This window comes from Homo sapiens, chromosome 11 (genome assembly GCF_000001405.40).
Source record: "Homo sapiens chromosome 11, GRCh38.p14 Primary Assembly".
Classification (NCBI taxonomy): Eukaryota; Metazoa; Chordata; class Mammalia; order Primates; family Hominidae; genus Homo; species Homo sapiens.
In genome coordinates this window covers 129,761,423-129,783,870 of record NC_000011.10, presented here as the reverse complement: position 1 = coordinate 129,783,870, position 22,448 = coordinate 129,761,423, and the positions used below count along the sequence as shown (strand labels likewise).

At 41.4% G+C, this 22,448-nt stretch overlaps 1 long non-coding RNA gene across 1 annotated transcript in view, besides 1 other annotated feature; it reads left to right on the top strand.

Moving 5' to 3' along the window:
- Positions 1–22,155, top strand: part of LOC124902793 (uncharacterized) — a 52,972-nt gene extending 30,817 nt beyond the window's left edge. Inside the window, exon 2 of the long non-coding RNA XR_007062952.1 lies at positions 16,432–22,155. This is a non-coding gene — a long non-coding RNA (uncharacterized LOC124902793). The remainder of the gene's footprint in view (positions 1–16,431) is intronic.
- Positions 16,423–16,717: an enhancer, noted in NCBI's record as "tiled region #8939; K562 Activating non-DNase unmatched - State 12:CtcfO". NCBI's record gives its function as "activates a minimal TATA promoter and a strong SV40 promoter by Sharpr-MPRA in K562 cells {active_cell/tissue: K562}" and the evidence as "EXISTENCE:reporter gene assay evidence [ECO:0000049][PMID:27701403]".
- Positions 22,156–22,448: the final 293 nt, after the last annotated feature.

The following is a 22,448-nucleotide window of genomic DNA, read 5'->3' as shown; positions in this document are numbered from 1 at the left end:
AGAAACGCACTGAAACTTGCTCCCTAACTTGGGAACCCAAAACTCAAAAGCCTTTAACCAGCCTTGATTTCAGCCACAAGCCTTGCTTCAAGCATCTGCCCTCAATCTTCCCATAGGGAAAGCATTCAGTGCCTATGTGTTAGAAAGGAATGAAATGGCCCTGGGAGTTTTAACTAAGGCTCAAGGTCAGCTAAACAGCCAGTGGGTTACTTAAGTGAGGAACTTAACTTGGTGGCTAAAGGATGGCCAGCTTGCCTTTGAGCAGTTGCAGCAGTGGCTTTGCTGGTGCCGGAGGCCACCAGGTTAACCATGGGGAATAACTTAACTGTTTGCACCCCACACAGTATAGCAGAACTGCTGTCCTCTAAGGGAGTCTCTGGCTAACAGACAATCGCCCCTCAAATATCAAGCTTTGCTGCTAGAGGGATCTACAGTTAAGAACCTTTACTTGCCTGAACCCAGCCACTTTCGCCCAGAAGAAACTGGAGAACCTGAACATGATTGTGAATGGGTAGTGGTGCAAACTGGTAAAAGGAATAATAAGGATCACTGTTTATATTCTCTGTAAAGTTTTAATTAATAAAAAGCATTTTCTTAAAGAATGCTCAGCTTAATTAAAAGTGGATATCCAAGTTATAGGTATATTAAAAGGCCATTTTTTCCCCTCATATCTTGTTTTTTCTGGAAAAGGTTTTTTCTCAGTTGACTGCATTACTTTACTGTGTTTCAACACTCCTGGCACATGCATGAAAGGCCCTAAGATGAGTTCTGGTGGCATAGAACTCCTTGGGAGAACAGAAAAGGCACCACAGATCCCATTTTGGGAGAAATCTCTGTTTTCATCATGGAACCCCTGGAATTAAAGGTGAATAAATCCCTCTCAAAATCTGTTTTTGTCTTACAGTCATGCCTGTCTGTTAGGTTGCAGAAACTACATGCTTTCCTGGCCCTATTCTTTTTTTGTTTTTTTTTTACATTTTCTTTTTTATTATACTTTAAGTTCTAGGGTACATGTGCACAACGTGCAGGTTTGTTACATATGTATACATGTGCCATGTTGGTGTGCTGCACCCATTAACTCGTCATTTACATTAGGTATATCTCCTAATGCTATCCCTCCCGCCTCCCCACGACAGGCCCTGGTGTGTGATGTTCCCCTTCCTGTGTCCAAGTGTTCTCATTGTTCAGTTCCCACCTATGAGTGAGAACATGTGGTGTTTGGTTTTCTGTCTTTGCGATAGTTTGCTCAGAATGATGCTTTCCAGCTTCATCCATGTCTCTGCAAAGGACATGAAGTCATCCTTTTTTATGGCTGCATAGTATTCCATGGTGTATATGTGCCACATTTTCTAAATTCAGTCTATCATTGATGGACATTTGGGTTGGTTCCAAGTCTTTGCTGTTGTGAATAATGTCACAGTAAACATACGTGTGCATGTGTCTTTATAGCAGCATGATTTATAATCCTTTGGGTATATACCCGGTAATGTGATGGCTGGGTCAAATGGCATTTCTAGTTCTAGATCATTGAGGAATCACCACACTGTCTTCCACAATGGTTGAACTAGTTTGTAGTCCCACCAACAGTGTAAAAGTGTTCCTATTTCTCTACATCCTCTCCAGCACCTGTTGTTTCCTGACTTTTTAATGATCACCATTCTAACTGGTGTGAGATGGTATCTCATTGTGCTTTTGATTTGCATTTCTCTGATTGCTGGCCCTATTCTTAAAGGGCTCCACCCTGAGCTGCTGGATCTTTTTCTGTCTGTCTGCATAGTCATATGTGTGATGTGTATGATGTCTATAAAAAGAGCTCTAATTAACTTAAAAAAGGATAAGCACTTGGATAAAATATTTTTAAAGGAAAAGTAAGAGCTGTAATGACTCATTTTACATAACTTTAATCTTTAAAAAAAAGAACAGACTTAGGGATTGTTGGTAAAATACAAATGTCTTCAAGGTGTAAAGACGTAGTCTAGATTATGTAGGTCAAATGCTAGGTTTGCTAAATGTTTTAAGGTTGTGAACTGTTTCTGTGGCCTTTAAAAACTGTCAACTTGCTTGCTTCACAATTTGTAAGGCCCGGGAACATATGGAAGTAACTATGCCCCTAACTATGTTGGAAGGAGTCAAACAATCTGCACCTTGCACATAATTGAAACAACTTACCAGGTTTTACATTCAGGTTAAAAATTGCTAAGCATTACCATTATGACATGTAATTGAAACTACTGAGAATATATTTACATGTAAGGTGTGTAAAAACAGTAAAATGTGTTTTTAGTAAAAGATTATAAGAAGGCATGGAAGTGTACATTTTGCCTAGGGATAAAGAACTGTCTTAAATTAGGTTTAAGCAAATTGGGGAAAAATTGTAAAAACGATTTTTCTGTAAATTGAGCACTGAAGTAAAAGTACAACAAGGTTTTTTAAGACACTAATCTGTTCTTTAGCAAAATATGTAAATGGTTATAAAAGGTTTGTGAAAATGTCATCTCCTGGTCAAACTGGTTAAGGTTGGATAGAATCATCTATAAGGTTTCATTAAAAATTGGGGTTAGGCCAGGCGCGGTGGCTCACTTTGGGAGGCCAAGGCGGGTAGCTCATCTGAGGTCAGGAGTTCGAGACCAGCCTGGCCAACATGATGAAATCCCGTCTCTACTAAAAATACAAAAGTTAGCCGGGCGTGATGCCTTGTGCCTGTAGTCCCAGCTACTTGGGAGGCTGAGGCAAGAGAATTGCTTGAACCCAGGAGGTGGCGGTTGCAGTGAGACAAGATCGTGCCATTGCACTCCAACCTGGGCAACAGAGCAAGACTCCATCTCAAAAAAAATAAAAATAAAAATGAAAATTGGAGTTAACATCAATAGTAGACTAATGCAAGGGTAAAATTGAACTTTCTCTCTTGAACAGGATTTTCATGTAATAGTAAAAGCTGATGAATGTTTTTTGCTTTTTCAAAACTTTGACCCATCATTTTGGCAAAACAAATAACTTACGATAATCTAAAATTCTGTTTCATAATATTAAGTGCTTTGAAACTCTAACATATTTAACAGGCTTCCCCAAATCAAACTTCAGCCTCAAGGTTTTCTTTCCTGACCCCTAGCTTTTTGGTGCTACAGAGGGCCCCTGGAGCACCCAGAAGAGAGGTAAAGAACATTATTTGACATGTTTAGGTACATGGAATTGCCAAAACGAAGTCTAATCTTCTTCAAGTTATATGTTAGGAATAATACTAACACACATTCAGAGCCAATCTGAAAGGCCTAAGTAAAAATAATTATTCTTGCTGTACTTTATGCAAAAAATCAAACCAGGTATAAGACTAAAGTTTATTTTGCAAACAACTCAGTCCTATCACAATCTGTTTTTAATAAAAATAAGGACTGAAGGGACAGAAATTGTTTCAAAACTTATCACACAGCTGTCATTAATTTCTAGTCTCATTAGTTGTTTTTAAGTTCTTGCCTATATTTTAAACAAACCTTGCTTATTCCTGTAAACCAATCAGCGATCTCAAGCTGCAGCTCAGAGGAGACAGAAAGGGATGGGCAATGTAAAAATCTGGAACAATATTCCAGTTCTGGGCAATTATACTACAAACCTGCCAGGTAATAAGAATAAATAGAGTACCCGTAACCCAGAGGTTTCCTTTTTGGGAAAGTGCGACCAAGAAAGGTAACCAAAGCCAAGTTCAAGCACCCAAATCTTAACAGGCATAACTGTAGCCACCAGTTATCAGAGCATGACAGCAGCCTCGGGATTTTTTAAAGCTGTCCTTATCCACCTTGTCTTGTTTTAATACACGTCCTCTAATAACTCAAATTGTTTCTTTTTGCCTAGAGGCTATCAAGCTCCAAATGGTAATGCAAATGGAACCATGCATAAATGTATCTTTCTTCTGGGGACCCTTAAACCAGCCCTGGGAAAATCCTAGCTGCTGTTACCCACACAATGCCCCTCTCCAGTGGGAAGTAGCTAGAAAAATCAACACCCGGTCTCCCTAGCAGCAGTTAAGGGTTCCACTCCTCAAGGTGGGGATGAGGGAGAAGGAATGGAAAAATTAGTTGGGTAAACAACTAACAGACTAGTCCTTGGAGAAGCTGCCTGTCTGAAAAATTGTGACGCTGCCTGCCTGAAAAATCACAGCTACAGGCAAAAATAGAGCAGCCTGGAAAAAATTCAGACTGCAGGTGTACAGATAAGCCACAGATAAACAGGTAAGGCAGGCACAGTCCAGCACAGAGGCTGTTTTTGTTCTTTGTATGATTAGCGAGCTCCCAGGAAAAAGTTTCTCCCCTTTTCAGACATGTACATGGTGGGCTCCAAGGGAACTTGCCCAGGGGGGAAGGGGGCTTACTTAAACCCACACTTACACAAACAAAAAGCTGTACTTTGTGCTTACCTACAGACATACCCACAACTGTATAGATAAGGGGAGTTATGCAGACAGTTTTATAGATAAGTTACTCAAACGGTTACGGAGATGAGAGCAGTTTCTTATAAAAGCTTTTGAATTCAACTGTAACCTGGCCACCATCCGGGACCCCTCTCCTCTGTGGAGAGCTTTCTTCTTTTGCTTATTAAATTTTTGCTCCAACCTCACCCTTTGTGTCCATGCTCTTTAATTTTCTTGGTTGTGAGACCACGAGCTCAGATAATACCTTAGACAAAGAGAACAGTGACCCTGACCTGTTTCAGGAGGGTGGATGTGCACCCCATTACCCTGGCTCCCACCAGTAGCAGCCCATGAACTGTGTCCCATGCTTCCCAGGCAAGATCGTGTCAGCCAGCAGGCCGACTGCATGCCAAGCACCTGAGACCTGCTCTGCTGCCGAGGCCTGACTTCTGGGACCACTTTCCAGAATTTGCTCATCACCTATTCCTGAGGATGCTACTCTCAAGCCCCACAGGGCCCACATGGCTGCGACTTTTCTGAGAATTGGCCCTGCTAGTGGATATAACTGCCACTAATGCCACTGTCCCTTCACTTGTACCCCGGATGTAACTGTATTCAGCTCAGGTGCCTTCATCAGCAGGAGCACTGTAAGCGTAATTTATTAAAAGTGAAACAATTGTACAAGCAGTTAATCAACCACCACAGGGCATAATTAATGAAGCAGCCTTCCCCTCCCCACCCCCATTGATTTTGTGAAACTCCCTTTTTCTTTCAGCTTGATCAAGTATTCCAAATTTAGAAAGCTCTAAGGTGGCCTACAGAAAAAGAAAAAGGCCACATAAGGTCCCTCTCACTTTCAGTAAATAGCAGCATATAAATACAAGAAAAAATAGATATTGTCTTGTGCAGCATTAAAAAATCAAAATAAAATAAATATGAGCAAAAATGGGTTTCTTGTATGTAGTCTATAATTGTTTAGTACATTTATAACTAATATCAAGATTACCAATATGCTTTGGTTACAATGCGTCGTCTTGATATTTGTTTTCTATTCATTGCATTTGTTCCTTGGTCCTTTTTGTTTTCATCTCCTTTCCATTTTCTCTCAGGTAAGCTTCTGACCCCACCCACCTGTTTTTAATGTTTTCAGCCCCCATGCGAATAACTGTTACTACTGGAACATACTAGGTTGGGTTCTGTTCTCTTCTAAACAAAATTTAGCAAAAGGCACAGTGATTTCCCATATTCACCTGCACCCACACATGCATGGCCTCCCCACGACCAGCAACCCCTACCAAAATGGCCTATTTGTTGCAACTGATGAACCTTTATTGACATAGTTGACATTAGGGTTCACCGTTGGTGCTGTACATTCTATGGGGTTGAACACATGTATAATGACATGCATCCACTATTTCAGTGTCATACAGAGTAGTTTCACTGCCCTAAAAATCCTGTGTCCCACCTTCACCCTTCCTTCCACTCCAATCATTGGCAACCATTGATCTTTTTCCTGTCTTAATAGTTTTGCCTTTACGGAATGTCATGTAGTTGGAATCATACAGTATGTAGCCTTTTCAGACTGATTTCTTTCACTTAGTAATTTGCATTTAAGTTTCTTTCGTGTCGCTTCATGGCTTGATAATTTCATTTTAGTGCTGAATGATACCCTTTTGTCTGGATGTATCTGGTTTATTTATGCATTTAACTGTTAGAGGTCATCTTGGTTTCTTCTAATATTTCCCAGTTAGGAATAAAGTTAGGTTCTATAAGTATCCATGTGTAGGTAATTGTGTGGACATAAGTTTTCAAGTCCTTTGGGTAAATACCAAGGAGTGTGCTGGTTGGATTGTATGGTAAGGGTATGTTTAGTTTTGTAAGAAGCCTCCAAAGTATCTTCCAAAGTAGCTGTACCATTTTGCATTTCCACCAGCAATGAGAGTTCTTGTTGCTACAGATCCTCACCAGTGTTTGGTGGTGTCAGTATTCTGAATTTTGGGCATTTTAATTGGTGTTAGTAGTATCTCATCATCATTTTAATTTGTATTTCCATGGTAACACAGGATGTAGAATATCTTTTCATATGTTTGTTTGCTATTTGTTTATCTTCTTTGGTGAGGTTCTGTTAAGCTTGCTGGCCCATTTAAAAAATTGGGTTTCTCGTTATCTTATTTTTGAGTTTTAAAGAATTCTTTGTATATTGGGGATAACAGTCCTTTATCAATTATGTCTTTTGCAAATATTTTCTCCCAAAGGCTTGTCTTTTCATTCTCTTGACAGTGTCCTTTGCTGAGCAGAAGTTGTTACTTTTAATGAAGTCCAACTTATCAGTTCTTTCTTTCATAGATCATGACTTTGGTGTCACAACTAAAAAGTTATTGCTAAACCCAAGCTCACCTAGATTTTGTCCTATTACCTTCTAGGAGCGTTATAGGTCTGTGTTTTATATTTAGGTCTGCGATTCATTTTGAGTTAATTTTTGTGAAGGGTGTAAGGTCTGTGTCTGGATTCTTTTTTTTTTTAAATGTGGATGTCTATTATAACAAACATTCTATTTTTCTTCAACGTATTGCCTTTGTTCTTTGACAAAGATCAGTTGACTATATTTATGTGCGTCAATTTCTGGACTCTATTGTGTTCCATTGATCTATTGATTTATTCTTTTGCAAATACCACATTGTCTTAATTATCGTAGATTTAGAGTAAGTCTTCGAGTCAGGTGTGTCAGTCCTCCAACTTTGTTCTTCTCTTTCAATATTGAATTGGCTATTAAGTGTGCTTTGGCTCTGCATATAAAATTTAGAATACTCTGTTGATATCTGTGAAATAAACTTGCTGGGATTTTGACAGGGATTGCATTGGAATCTATAGATCAAGTTGGGAAGAACAGACATCCTAAAAATATTGAGTCCTTGTATTCATGAACATCAATTGTCTATCCGTTTATTTAGTTTTTCTTTGATTTCTTTCATCAGGGTTTTATAGTTTGCCTTACATAGATCTTGTGCATATTTTGTTAAATTTATAACTAAGTATTTCATTTTACAGGGTGCTAATTTAAATGGTATTATGTGTTTTAGAATACGTGCTGCCAAAGTGAGCACATAAATGGTATTATGTTTTTCAGTTTTCACTTGTTCATTGTTGATATAAAGAAAAGTGATTGGCTGGGCGCGGTGGCTCATGCCTGTAATCCGAGCACTTTGGGAGGCCGAGGCAGGCAGATCACAAGGTCAGGAATTCGAGACCAGCCTGGCCAATATGGTGAAACCCAGTCTCTACTAAAAATACAAAAATTAGCCGGGTGTGGTGGTGCACCTGTAGTCCCAGCTACTCGGGAGGCTGAGGCAGAAGAATCACTTGAACCCGGGAGGCGGAGGTTGCAGTGAGCTGAGATCGCACCACTGCACTCCAGCCTGGGTGACAGAGTGAGACTCCATCTTAAAAGAAAAGAAAAAGAAAAGTGACTGACTTTTGTATATTAAACTTGCATCCTGCACCCTTGCTATAATCACTTATTCCAGAAGTTTTTTTTTCTTGGTTATTTTATATTGTCTGCATAGGTAATCATGACATCTGCAAACAAACACGGTTTTATTTTTTCCCTTCTCAGTCTGTATATATTTTATTTCCTTTTTTTAAATTTTATTAGCTAGGATTCCCATTACAATGTTGAAAGACAGTGATGAGAGAGAACACCCTTGCCTTGTTCCTGATCTTAGTGGGAAAACTTCATGATTCTCACCATTAAGTATGATGTTAGCTGTAGGTTTTTAATAGATATGCTTTGTCAAGTAGAGGAAGATCCCCTCTATTCCTAGTTTACTGAGAGTTTTTTTTAAATCATGAATGGATGTAGGATTTTGTCACATGCTTTTTCTGCAACTATTGAAATGATCACGTGCTATTTGTTCCTCAGCCCCCCCATGTGATGATTACCTAATTGATTTTGTATGTTGAACCAGGCTTGCATAGTGAGGATAAATATGTTGTTTTGGTGGATAATTGTTTTTATACATTGTTGAGTTTGATTTGCTAATATTTTGGGGGAGATTTTTGCATCTATGTTCATCAGAGATACTGGTAGACAGTTTTCTTGTGAAGTCTTTGTCTGATTTTGGTGTTAGGATGATGCGGGCCTTGTAGAATGAGTTAGTAATTGTTCCTTCTGTGTCTATCTTCTGAAATGAGTATAATTTATTTCTTAAATGTTTGGTAGAATTCACCAGTGAACCAATCTGGCCTGGTGCTTTTTGTTTTGGGAGGCTTCCCCTTACTATTTAATTACTGATAGTCTCTTCTGTAAATAGTGATGAAAAAACTGGATATTCAAATGCAGAAGAATGAAATTAGACTCTCGTACTGTATACAAGAAGCAATTCAAAATGGATTAAATTCAAAAGACTTAACTGTAAGACCTTAAGCCATAACACTACTAGAAGAAAACAGAGGACTGGGTGTGGTGGCTAATGACTGTAATCTCAGCAATTGGGAGGCCAAGGCAGGTGGATCACCTGAGGTCAGGAGTTCAAGATTGGCTTGGCCAACATGGAGAAACCCTGTCTCTACTAAAAATACAAAAATTAGCTGGGCATGGTGATGTGCGCCTGTAATCCCAGCTACTTGTGAGACTGACGCAGGAGATCACTTGAACCTGGGAGGCGGAGACTGCAGTAAGCCGAGATCGTGCCACTCCACTCCAGCCTTGGGTGATAGAGCAAGACTCCATCTGGAAAAAAAAAAAAAGAAAACAGGAAAATCCTGACAGTCGTCTGGGCAATTATTTTTTGACTATGACACCAAAAATGCAAGCAAAAAAGCAAAAATAGAAAATTGGGATTGCATTAAACTAAAATGCTTTGGCATGGCAAAGGAAACCATCAACAGAGTGAAAAGGCAATCCTGTGGAATGGGAGAAAATATTTTCAAACCATGTATCTTTAAGGGATTAATATCCAAAATATGTAAGGATTTTTTTCTTTATCTTTGACTTCTTTAGTTCACAAATTATATGCCTAGGTATTGTTTCTGGGGGCATTTATCCTGCTTGGTGTTGTCTTAGATTCCTGAATCTATGGGTTGATGTCTGACATTAATTTGGAGTCTCTGTCATAATTATTTCAAATATATTTTCTGTTCCTTTCTCTCCTTTTTTTTCCCCTGGTATTTCTAGCACAAATATGTACGCCTTCTGTAGTTGTCCTACAGTTCTTGGATATTTTGTCCTTCTTTCCCCCATTTTTTTCTGTTTGTCATTCAGTTATAGATATTTTTATTGAGATATTCTCAGGCTCAGATTCTTTCCTAAGCCATGTCCAGTCTACCAATCAGCCTATCAGAGCCATCCTTTGGTTCCATTACCGCGTTTTTGACCTCTAGCATTTCTTTCTGGTTCTTTCCTAGGATTTCCATCTCTCTGCTTCTATCGTCCAACAGTTGTTTTTTGTTTTTGAGACGGAGCCTCGCTCTGTCGCCAGGCTGGAGTGCAATGGCGTGATTTCGGCTCACTGCAACCTCCGCCTCCCGGGTTCAAGCGATTCTCCTGCCTCAGCCTCGGAGTAGCTGGGATTACATGTGCCCGCCACTCTGCCTGGCTAATTTTTGTATTTTTAGTAGAGACAGGTTAGTCAGGCTGGTCTCAAGCTGCTGACCTCAGAAGATCCACCTGCCGTGGCTTCCCAAAGTGCTGGGATTACAGTCGTGAGCCGCTGCACCCGGCCTGTCCATTAGTTTTTGCATGCTATTTACTAGAGCCCTTCACACATGTATCATGTTTGTTTTAAATTACTGGTCTGATAATTCCAACATCCCTGACATGTCTGAGTCTCGTTCTGATGTTTGCTCCACTTTTTCAAGTTGTTTTTTGCCTTTTGGTATGTCTTTTCTTTTTTTTTTGTTTGCGGGGGACAGAGTTTCACTCTTGTTGCCCAGGCTGGAGTGCAATGGTGCAATCTCAGCTCACTGCAACCTCTGCCTCCCGGGTTCAAGTGATTCTCCTGCCTCAGCCTCCTGAGTAGCTGGGATTTCAGGCACCCAACACCATGCCAGGCTAATTTTTGTATTTTTAGTAGAGGCAGGGTTTCATTATGTTGGCCAGTCTGGTCTTGAACTCCCGACCTCAGGTAATCTGCCCGACTTGGCCTCCCAAAGTGCTGGGATTACAGGCATGAGCCACCATGCCCAACCTATTTTTGAATATTTAGATTAATAATTTTCATTAAATTTGGAAAAAGTGGCCACTTTTTTCAAGTATTTTTTTTTCTCCTTTTTCCTGGGAACTTCAATTATATGTGTGTTAGGCAACTTGATGTTGTCCTAATCTTAGTGATGCTATTTTTAGATTCCCCCCCCCCCCCGGCATTTTAAATGCTGATTAGACCTGGTGAGTAAGAAATAACAACTACTGTAGACTTATTGGTAAGACATTTGTGTGACTTGCCTAAAATTCAGGCAAATTTTGCTTGTACCTCAGCAAAATTTCTATTCGTCAAGTGGTGTGGGGCATGGCTAGACAACCCTTTTAAAGTGAAGGGTATATTACTGTGTCTGGCCCCTCCTACAACCAAGAAAGTGGGCCTCTTAAGATTTTAGAGTCAACATTCCTCATTTGGGAGTGTTACTCTGGCCCATTTACCCAGTGACCCAAAAAGTTGCTGGATTTGAGTGGGGCCCACAACAAGAGAAGGCTCCGCAACAGGACCAGGCTGCTGTGCAAGCTGCCCTGCTGCTTGAGTCATATGATCCAGTGGATCCATGGTGCTTGAGGTGTCAGTGGCAGATAGGGATGAATGGAAGAATCACAGTGCAAGCATTTAGAATTTTGGAAAAAAGCCCTGACATCTTCCAAAGATGACTACTTTTCTTTTGGAAGACAATTCTTGGTCTGCTACTGGGCCTTAGTGGAGACTGAATGTTTGACCATGGGCTGCCAAGTTACCACGCAACCTGAGCTGCCCATCATGAACTGGCTGTTACCTGATCCACCAAGTCATAAAATTTGGCATACACAGCACTCCATCATCAAATGGAAGCAGTACATACATGATCTGGTTGGAATAGGCCCTGAAGGCACATGTAAGTTACATGAAAAAGTGACCCAAATGCTCATGGTATCTACTCTTGCAACACTGCCTTCTCTCCCACTGCATGCACCTATGGTGTTACTGGGAGTTCCCTATGATCAATCAATAGGAGAAGCCTGGTTTGCAGATGGTTCTGCACAATATGCAGACACCACCCAAAAGTGGACAGCTGTAGTACTAGAACCTGTTACTGGGATATCCCTGAAAGACAGCTGTGAAGGGAAATCCTCTTACGGGTCAGAACTTTGAGCAGTGCATCTGATTGTGCACTTTTCTTGGAAGGAGAAATGGCCAGTCCTGTGATTATATATCAGTTCAGACTGTGGCCAATGGTTTGGCTGGATGTTCAGGGAATTGAGAGGAACATGATTGGAAAATTGGTGACAAATTTAAGGAAGAGGTATATGGACAGATTTCTCTGAGTGCGCAAAACACATGGTGATATTTGTGTCCCATGTGAATACTCACCAAAGGGAATTTTAATAATCAAGTGGACAAGATGACCCATTCTGCGGATACTGATCACCCTTGTTTCCCAGCTACCTCTGTCATTGCCTAATGGTCTCATGAACAAAGTGACCATGATGGCAGTGATGGAGGTTATGCTTGGTGAAGTAACGTGGACTTGCACTCAACAAGGCCAATCTGGCTTACAGCCACTGCTGAAAGTCCAATCTGCCAACAGCAGAGAGCAACACTGAGTCCCTGATATGGCCAACATTGAGCAGAGACCAACATCAAGTCCCTAGGGTGATCATGCAGCCACCTGGTGGTAGGTTATGTGGGGACATTTTCATCATAGAAGGGACAGTGTTTGTTCTTAATAGACACTCTGGATATTTTTTGTCTTCCCTGCACACAATGCTTCTGCCAAAACTACCATCCATGGGCTTATAGAATGCTTTATTCATCATTGTAGTAGTCCACATTGCATTGTTTCTGATCAAGGAACTCACTTTACAGCAAAAGAAATGGAGCAACGGACCCATGCTGGTAGAATTTGCTGGTCTGATTTATGTTCCCCATCATCCTGAAGCAATTGGCTTGATAAAACAGTGGAATAGCATTTTGAAGTCTCAGTTATGACACCAGCTAGGTGGCAATTTCTTGCAGGGGTGGAGTGAAGTTCCCCAGAAGGCTGTATATGCTATGAATCAGTGTCCAATATAAGATCTTGTTTCTCCTACAGCAAGTAGCACTCACAGGTCAAGAGATCAAAGGACAAGAGTGGGAGTGGCACCACTCACTATTACCCCGAGTGACCCACTGGCAAAATTTTTGCTTCCTGTTCCTGACTTTATGCTTTGCTGACCTAGAGGTCTTAGTTCTAGAGGAAGGGATATTTCCATTAGGAAGGGATATTTCCACCAGGAGACACAATAATGATCCCAAGAACTGGAAGTTAAAGACTTCCACCTGGCCACTTTGGGGTCCTTATATTTCTCAATTAATAGGTAAAGAAGGGAGTTACAGTGTTGGCTGGGATGATTGGTCCTGACTACCAAGGGGGAAATTGGACTACTATTCCACAATGGAGTTAAGGAAGAGTAAGTATATCCAGAATACAGGAGATTCCTTAGGGTATCTTTTAGTATTACCATGCCCTGTGTTTTATGTCAATAGAAAACTACAGCCTGACCAGGCAGGGCTACAAATGGCTCAAACCCTTCAGGAATAAAAGTTGAAGTCACCCTGCCAGATAAAGCTGAGGTGCTTGCTGAAGGCAACGGGAATACAGAATGGATAGTGGGAAAAGGTAGTTGTAAATACCAGCCATGGCCATGTGGCCAATTACAGAAACAAAGATGGTAATTGCCGTGTCTATTTTCTCCTTATTTTGCCATAAACACATTTGTGTGTGTATCTTTGTTATCCTTCTGTTCTTATTCCCTTATCATGTAACATCAGATGTATTTATAATATTTTATATCGTACTATTTAAGTATTTTTAATTTAATTTTTTTTTTGAGACAGGGTCTGGCTCTGTTACCCAGGCTGTAGTACAGTGGCACGATCTTGGCTCACTGCAACCTCCGCCTCCTGGGTTCAAGCCATCCTCCCACCTCAGCATTCCAAGTAGCTGGGACCACAGGCATGCACCACCGTGCCTGGCTAATTTTTGTATTTTTTTGTAGAGTTGGTGTTTCACCATGTTGCCCAGGCTGGTCTTGAACTCCTGAGCTCAAGCGATCTGCCTGCCTTGGCCTCCCAAAGTGCTGGTATTGCAGGTGTGAGCCACTGCACCCAGGCAAGTGTTGTAGGATATCAGAGTAAACATCTTTCAAGGATTTTACCTCCTCATCTGGGAAATAAGTTACTGTGTGTTTTTTATTGTATCCAGGGTAGTATTAAGGTAGGTGGAATTATGACCTATTATTTTCATTTGGAGAATAAGTTTGGTTTGAGGAGATGTGTATAGGTGCCAAGTTGACAAAGGGTAGACTTGTGATAATAAATTTTATGTGTCAACATGACTGGGCTATGGGGTGCGCAGGTTAAACATAATTTTTGGTGTGTCCATGAGAGTGCTTCTGGATGGACTCAACCACTGGCTGAATTACAGCACTGGCCTTCCTGGGTCTCTGACTTGCAGATGGCAGATCATGGCACTTCTTAGCCTTCATAACTGTGTGAGCCAATTCTTCATATAAATCTCTCTCTCCCTCTAATGTATTTATATATGTAAATATAGTTATATGTTGCCAATATATTTATATTGGTAAAATACTACATATTTACATATATAAATAATACATATACTGGGTATGGTGGCTCACACCTGCAATATATTTTATATATATAAATATATATAGTATAATACTGATAAATACTATATATATATATATATATATCCTATTCCTTCTGTTTCTTTGTAGAACTCTGACTAATACATGTGGGTTAATTTCATTAAATTTGGAAAAAAAAATGGCCATTTCTTTCAAGTATTATTTTCCTCCCTTCTTCTGGATACTCCAGTTATGTATATATTAGGCTACTTGATATTGTCTCACAACTTATTGATGCTTTGTTTAGTTTTCTTCTGGCTTATGTTTTCTCTCAGTGTTTAATTTGGATAGTTCCTATTGCAATATCTTCAAATTCACAAATCTTTTCTCCTATAGCATTTAATCTGCTGTTAATCCTGCCAATGTATTTTTCAGTTCAGTTACTGTATTTTTCATTTCTAGAAGTTTACTTAGGCATTTCATTTTTCTCCTGACCATACTCATGCTTTCTTGCACTTCTTGAATATATGGAGTGAATTTATAATTCTTGTTTTGATGTCCTTGCCTACAAATTCTAACATCTGAGTCATATATAGGTCTATGTCTATAGAATGATGTTTTTTTCCAATACTGGGTCTTATGTTCCTGCTTATTTGCATACTAGGTAATATTTTATTGAATACCAGACATTGTACACTTTATGTTATGGGGTGCTGGATTTCTAAACATTCCTTTAGATACTTTACTTTTACACTGAGGGCTAATTTGGCCCCACTGAGGCAATATGCTTTTGAGAACTGTACCCGATGCCCCACCGTATTAGGAGATCTTCCCAAACCGGCTAGGGAAAACACTATTTCTGGTCCTGTGTGAACTCCTGAAATTGTTCTGCCTACTCCTCTCTGCTGTTCTTTCCCCAGCCTCAGTAGTCTCCTTACACAAGCGCATAGCAGTACTCAGCCAAAGTCTTGAGGGACTGCTCTGCAGATCTCTGGAACCCTCACTCTCTGCAGTTCTTTTTCTTTGATACTTTGCCTCACAAATTTTTCTCATTTTGCCCTGCTGGAACTCTGAACTTTGTCTCCTTAATCAGTGAGACTGTTGGACTCTGTTTTGGTTTCTTTTTTCTGTGGTCAGCCTGGAAATTCTCCAGGCAGTGAGCTGGGGGTACTTGCAGGGCTGATCTCACTTGTCTTTCTCTCAGGGATCACAGTCTTGCACTGCCTGTTGTCCAATGTCTGAAAACTTTCACTTCATATATTTTGTCCAGCTTTTAGTTATGTAAGGAGGGAAGGTACATCTAGTCTCTATTATTCCATCATGATTAAAAATAGAATTCTGTTTTGGTAAACAGCTTTCATCTTGTTTAGGTAGCTTCTCTCTATTCCTATGTTAGTTAATCTTTTTTATTAGAGTGCTGTTAAATATTAGAGAAATACCTTTTTACATTCATAAAATCATGCGGGTTTTCTTAATTTATAAATGTAATGATTTAGGTAGATAGGATTCCTATTGTTGAATAACTTGCATTTCCGGAAGGAATCCTCATTGGTCAAGTATTTTACATTATTAAAAACAGTAACAAAATGACTGACGTGATGGTAAGTCCCTGGATGACTGGTGTGTCACCTTAAGAGCTGCCTGTCTGGATTGGCAACATCCCAAGGGATTCATCACAAAGATTGGCCTACTGGAACTTAAGCAGCAAAATGAACTTTTTTTCTAATAGAGCTATTAAAAATTCTGATGGGCTGTTTGACAATTTAAAGGATTCTTTTTTACATTTAGAAGCATCTTTTCATTTTTTAGACTGATTGAAGTTGTCCCACGATGCCCTGATGCTCTTCTTGTTTCTTTTCATTGGTTTCTTTCTCTTTGTATTTCAATTTGGATGGCTTTTATTGCTGTTTTCAAGTTCACAAATCTTTTCTTCTTAGTGTCTAATCTGCTGTTAATCTCATCCAATGTATTTTCATGTTAGACATTGTAGTTTTAACTTCAGAAGTTCAATTTGGCTATTTAAAAAAAATCTTCTATATATCTACCAACACGTTCAGTCTTCTAAATTTTTGAGCATATAGGATACAATTATAATAACTATTTCCACTAATTCTATAGTCTGTGTCATTTCTGGGTTGTTTTTCATGTTTGTTTTCTCTATATTAAGGGTCATATTTTCCTGTTTTTTTTTTTTTTTGCATGTCTGGTAATTTTTTATTAGATGGAAGACATTGTGATTTTGACCTTGTTGGATGCTGCACCTGAAGGTGGAGGAAGAGGAAGAGCCTTGGGGGCTACCATTCTGGCTGGAGAAGCGGCACGAGGCTCCCTCTTGTGGATGCAGCAAGGTAAGAAAGTAAAGTGGATGTTCTCCTCTGGAGCAAGCGGCCTCCGACTCTGCCTGTGGACTGAAACTCGCACTTGCATGCTGTGGCTTAGCTGAGGGCTTGTAGCTCAGGACAGAGGCAGTGATGGTGACAAAAGCAGGGGAGTGATACGGGAGAGGTATAGCCCCAGCCCCAGGACACAGCAGATCTCAATATTGGGAAGGGAGGAGTTCAGTATCAGTAAAGTGAGCCATAAGAGAGACAGGAAAGCAGCCTTTGCAGACAGAGGTGGAACCAATTGAAAGGAGGAGGGGAGCTCCTTGCAAAGAACGTTGCAGGTAGCATCTAGAGGCTGTGGGGATCATTCTTAGGCCATCCAAGAACTCTGAGAAGATTGGGGGGAAGCTGGAATTTCACTGTGGTTGCTAGGATGGGCTCAAGCCCGAGGCTATTTTTATTTAAATGCCATTATTTTTGTTTTTATTTTTTGATATTAACCCTGTCAGGTTAGTGAGCCTAGAGAATACCTGTTATAAATGAAATATAATTCTGAAATGTTAATGTGTGGGAAGGAACAAGTAAGGCTTGAGAAATATAACCTGGGCATGTAATGATGCTAGAGAACTTACAGTCTTTGCCTGAAAGTTCTGGATGCACAAAAGTCCCTTATTGTCATTTTATTTATTTACTTAGTTCTTACTGAGATTGAGACAGTCTTACTGTATAATGCCTAAAGATCTCAGGTAAGAGTGATACTAGCTTTTTTTCCCTATTAGTTTCTTTTTCTTTTCTTTCTTTTTTTTTTTCTTTTTGTTTTGGAGACGGAGTCTCACTTTTTCGCCCAGGCTGGAGTGCAGTGGCGCTATCTCGACTCACTGCAAGCTCCGTCTCCTGGGTTCACGCCACTCTCCTGCCTCAGCCTCCTGAGTAGCTGGGATTACAGGTGCCCGCCACCGCGCCCGGCTAATTTTTTGTATTTTTAGTAGAGACGGGGTTTCACCGGTTAGCCAAGATGGTCTCGATCTCCTGACCTCGTGATCCGCCCACCTTGGCCTCCCAAAGTGCTGGGATTACAGGCATGAGCCACCGCGCCTGGCCTTTTTTTTTTTTTTTTTTTGACACAGAGTCTCACTCCGTCGGCCAGGCTGGAGTGCAGTGGCACGATCTTGGCTCATTGCAACCTCCACCTCCCAGACTCAAGCAATTCTCCTGCCTCAGCCTCCCGAGTAGCTGGGATTGCAGGTGTGTGCCACCATGCCCGGCTAATTTTTGTATTTTTCGTAGAGACAGGGTTTCACCAGGTTGGCCAGGCTGGTCTCAAACTCCTGACCTCAGGTAATCCACCCCCCTCGGCCTCCCAAAGTGCTGGGATTACAGACGTGAGCCATCATGCCCAGCCTAGTTTCTTTTAAAAAAAAAATTATTTTATTTCCATAGATTATTGGGGAGCAGGTGGTGTGTGGTTACATGAGTAAGATCTTTTTTTTTTTTTTTTTTTTTGAGACGGAGTCTTGCTCTGTTGCCCAGGCTAGAGTGTAGTGGCGCGATCTCGGCTCACTGCCAGCTCCACACCTCGGGTTCACGCCAACTCTCCTGCCTCAGCCTCCTGAGTAGCTGGGACTACAGGGGCCCGCCACCACACCCAGCTAATTTTTTGTATTTCTTGTAGAGATGGGGTTTCACCATGTTAGCCAGGATGGTCTCGATCTCCTGACCTCGTGATCCACCTGCCTCAGCCTCCCAAAGTGTTGGGATTACAGGCATGAGCCACTGCACCTGGCCACATAAGTAAGATCGTTAGTGGTGATTTGTGAGATTTTGGTGGACGCATCGCCTGAGCAGTATACACTGCACCCAAATTGTAGTCTTTTATTCATCACTCCCTTCCCACCCTTTTTCCCTGAGTCCCCAAAGTCCACTGTGTCATTCTTACGTCTCTGTATCCTCATAGCTTAGCTCCCACGTATGATCGAGAACATACAATGTTTGGTTTTCCATTCCTGAGTTACTTCACTAAGAATAATAGTCTCCAATCTCATCCAGGTTGCTGTGAATGCCATTAATTCATTCCTGTTTATGGCTGAGTAGTATTCCATTGTATATGTATACTGCAGTTTCTTTATCCACTCACTGATTGATGGGCATATGGGTTGGTTCCACATTTTTACAACTGAGAATTGTGCTGCTATAAACATATGTGTGCAAGCATCCTTTTCGTGTGATGACTTCTTTTTCTCTGGGTAGATACCCAGTAGTGGATACCCTAATATGTTTTCCAAACTCTTAGATTTCTCTTCTTCTTAGGAATGCCGATTATTCTTTGGTTTGCTCATTTAACATAATCCCAGACTTCTTGGAGGCTTTGTTCATATTTTCTTATTCTTTTTTCTTTGTCTTTGTTGGATTATTTTGAAAACCTTGTCTTTGAGCTCTGAGGTTCTTTCTCCTGCTTATTCGCTTCTATTGCTGAGACTTTCCAGAGCATTTTGAATTTCTATAACTGCATCCGTTGGTTCCTGAAGTTTTGATTGCTTTTTATTATATGCTACCTATTTCATTGAAAATTTCTCCCCTTACTTTTTGTATTTTTTTTTTATTTCCTTAAATTGGGCTTTGCCTTTTTCTGGCACCTCTTTGATTAGCTTAATAACTGACCTTATGAATTCTTTTTCAGGTAAATCAGGGATTTTTTTTGGTTGGATCCATTGCTGGTGAGCTAGTGTGATTTTTTTGGAGGGTATTAAAGAGCCTTGTTTTCTCATATTACCAGAGTTGGTTTCCTAGTTCCTTCGCATTTGGGTAGGCTCTGTCGGAGGGAAGGTCTAGGGCTCGAGGCTGTTGTTCAGATTCTTTTGTCCCACAGGGTGTTCCCTTGATGTAGTACCCTCCGCCTTTTCCTAGGGATGTGGCTTCCTGAGATCTGAGCTGTCGTGATTATTATCTCTCTTCTGAATTTAGTCACCCAACAGGTCTACCAGGCTCTGGGCTGGCACTGGGAGTTGTCTGTACAGAGTCTTGTGATGTGAACCATCTGTGGGTCTCTCAGCTGTGGATACCAATGCCTGCTGTGGTGGAGGTGGTGGGGGGTGAAATGGACTCTGTGAGGGTCCTTAGTTTTGGTGGTTTAATGCACTATTTTTGAGCCGGTTGGCTTCCTGCTGGGAGGTGGCACTTTCCAGAGAGCATCAGCTGTGGTAGTATGGGAGGGATCAGGCGGTGGGTAGGGCCCTAGAACTCCCAAGAGTATATGCTGTTTGTCTTCAGCTACCAGGGTGGGTAGGGAAGGCCCATTAAGTGGGGGCAGTGCTAGGCATGTCTGAGTTCAGACTCTCCTTGAGTGGGTCTTGCTTGTGGGGGATGGAGGTGTGGTTCGCAGGTCAATGGGGTTGTGTTCCTAGGAGGATTATGCTGCCTCTGCTGTGTCATGCAGGTTGTCAGGGAAGTGAGGGAAAGCTGGCAATCACAGGCCTCACCCAGCTCCCACACAACCCAAAGGGCCAGTCTCACTCTCACCATTCCCTGCTCAACAGCACTAAGTCTGTGTCCAGGCAGTGGACAAGCAGGGCTGAGAGCTTGCCCCAGGCTACCAGCCTCCCAGCTGTGAAAGCTGTGAACCCTTCGTGCTTCCCCACCTGTGGTCTGCACACAGGATTCACGCCCTCCCTGTAGTTCTGGCCAGGAGACTTCTTGTTCAGTTGGAATTGTTACGAAGTTCAGCTGGAGGCTTCCTTCTCCCTGTGGCCTTTTCCCAGTGCCTCTGGTAGCCCTCCCCAATGACCCCTGGGAGGCAAGGCAGAAATGGCTTGCTAGGGCACCCAGAGAGCCCACAGGGATTTTCCCACTGCTTCTTCTACCCCTGCGTTTCACTCGGCTCTCTAAATTGACTCAGCTCCAGGTAATGTTAGAATCTTCTCTGGTGATCTAGATCTTGAGGTTCCCCAGTGAGGTTGTGTGTTTGGGACTGAATGATGCCCCTTTCCCACTTCCATAGTTTGGGCACTCACGGTATTTGGGGTGTCTCCCAGGTCATGCAGGAGCAATTCACTTCCTTCAGAGGGTCTGTGGGTTCTCTTGGCTTTCCTGATTTCTTCCTGCAGTCATTCTGGAGCAAAAGTTCATGATGCAATACTCCACATGCTGCTCTGTCCGTCTGAGTGGGAGCTGCAATCTAGGCCTGCCTCCTGTCTGCCATGATCCTCCCAGAGAGATACTAGCTTTGACACTCGTCTATGTGGACGAAAAAGCCACAGGACACTTTAATTTCTATTTTAGTATTCCTCATATATTTTCTGCATTCATTTACATGTCTGCCTCCCCAGCAACTTCTTATGGCACCATGCTTTGTAATTACCATGTGCCGAGTGGCTACTAAGTGACTGATATTTATATGCTTTATGTGGCTTAACTTACATACTCTTCTGAGAAGCTGTTTAAATTTCATTCTCTCTTATTTTCGTTTCCAGGTCTAGGAAATGGAGGCATAGTGAGATAAAATAAGTTGCTCAAAGCCATATGGCGATTAAGACTTGAACTCTAAAAGTGTTTTATTTTTATTTTTATTTATTTAATTAATTTTTTTGAGACAGGGTCTTGCTCTGTTGCCCAGGCTGCTGTGCAGTGGTGCAATCACAACTCACTGCAGCCTCAACCTCCTGAGCTCAAGGGATCCTCCCATCTCAGCCTCCCAAGTAGCTGGGACCACAGGAAGGTGCCACCATGCCAGGCTAGTTTTTTATTTTTTAGTAGAGATGGGGGTCTCACTAGGTTGCCAAGGCTGGTCTTGAACTCCTGGGCTCAAGTAGTTCTTCTATCTCAGCCTCCCAAAGTGCTGGGGTTACAGGCTTGAGCCACTGTGCCCAGCCTGTTTTATTAATCTCTAAGTGCCCTGCATCTGCTCTAGGGAGTGTGGCATAGTCCTTGATAGTGGATAACTGAGTGACGCAGGTAGTTTGTATGAGAAGTGCAGTAACCACATGGTGAATGGAAGATGATGCTGTACACTTGCCTGGAGTTCATAGCTGGGACACTGTGGTTACCAGGACACAGCTTCCAGAATGGCTGACTAAACCTAGAAAATGCAGACTCCGCTGGGTCTTTGTGTTTCTGTTTTTTAAACGGGAAAATAAATTCTGTCATTTACTTTCAAAGAGTTAGTGGGAGTGACATAAAATTGTTGATAAAAATCTTTGGAAGTCTCAGTGAGGGGATCTGCTATATTGAAATAATGAAATAATTGATGAAATTATTTCATTCGTAAACAGTCTAAGGGCCAAGGGAAGAGAAGAGTGACACAGACTCTCCTTTCCTTGAGATCTTAGAATCACGCCTGCCTCCTTACCTCCATCCAGGACTGTTAAAAAACTCCCAAAGCAGGGACTTTCAGGCCCACATGCACTTAGCCTCCTCTTCCCACCTCCTGTTCCTCTCCGTGTCTAATGTTCCACTGCCATCGCTGCCAGGAAGTTCTGCAGAGAAGAGTGAAGAAGAACCGTGTGATCCTAAACATGTTCTCTGAAGATATTATCAACCCACCATTGGCCTTATTTACTGGAATGTTTTTATAACCTTCATTTGACACCTCTTCCCATCATTTAAAATAAATCTGGTGCTTCCCTGAATAATCTCTTGAGATTTGTACATGTCTCCCAGCATCACATCTGCCCTTTTAACAAGCACACTCCTTCCACTGCTCACGGCCACCTCGGGTTCACTGCAGTCAGGGAATCTGTGTCTTGCAGCAGTCAAGTCTATATCAAACTTGAATTTATTTATTTTCTTTTGTTTCTGAGAACTGTAATTCCACTCCAAGGCCTAGACTGTACCCAACAGAGCTGCATGTATGTTTAATGAAAACATGTCCTAGAATATTCACAATACTTCTACTACTTATGCCCTCAAACTGGAAACTACC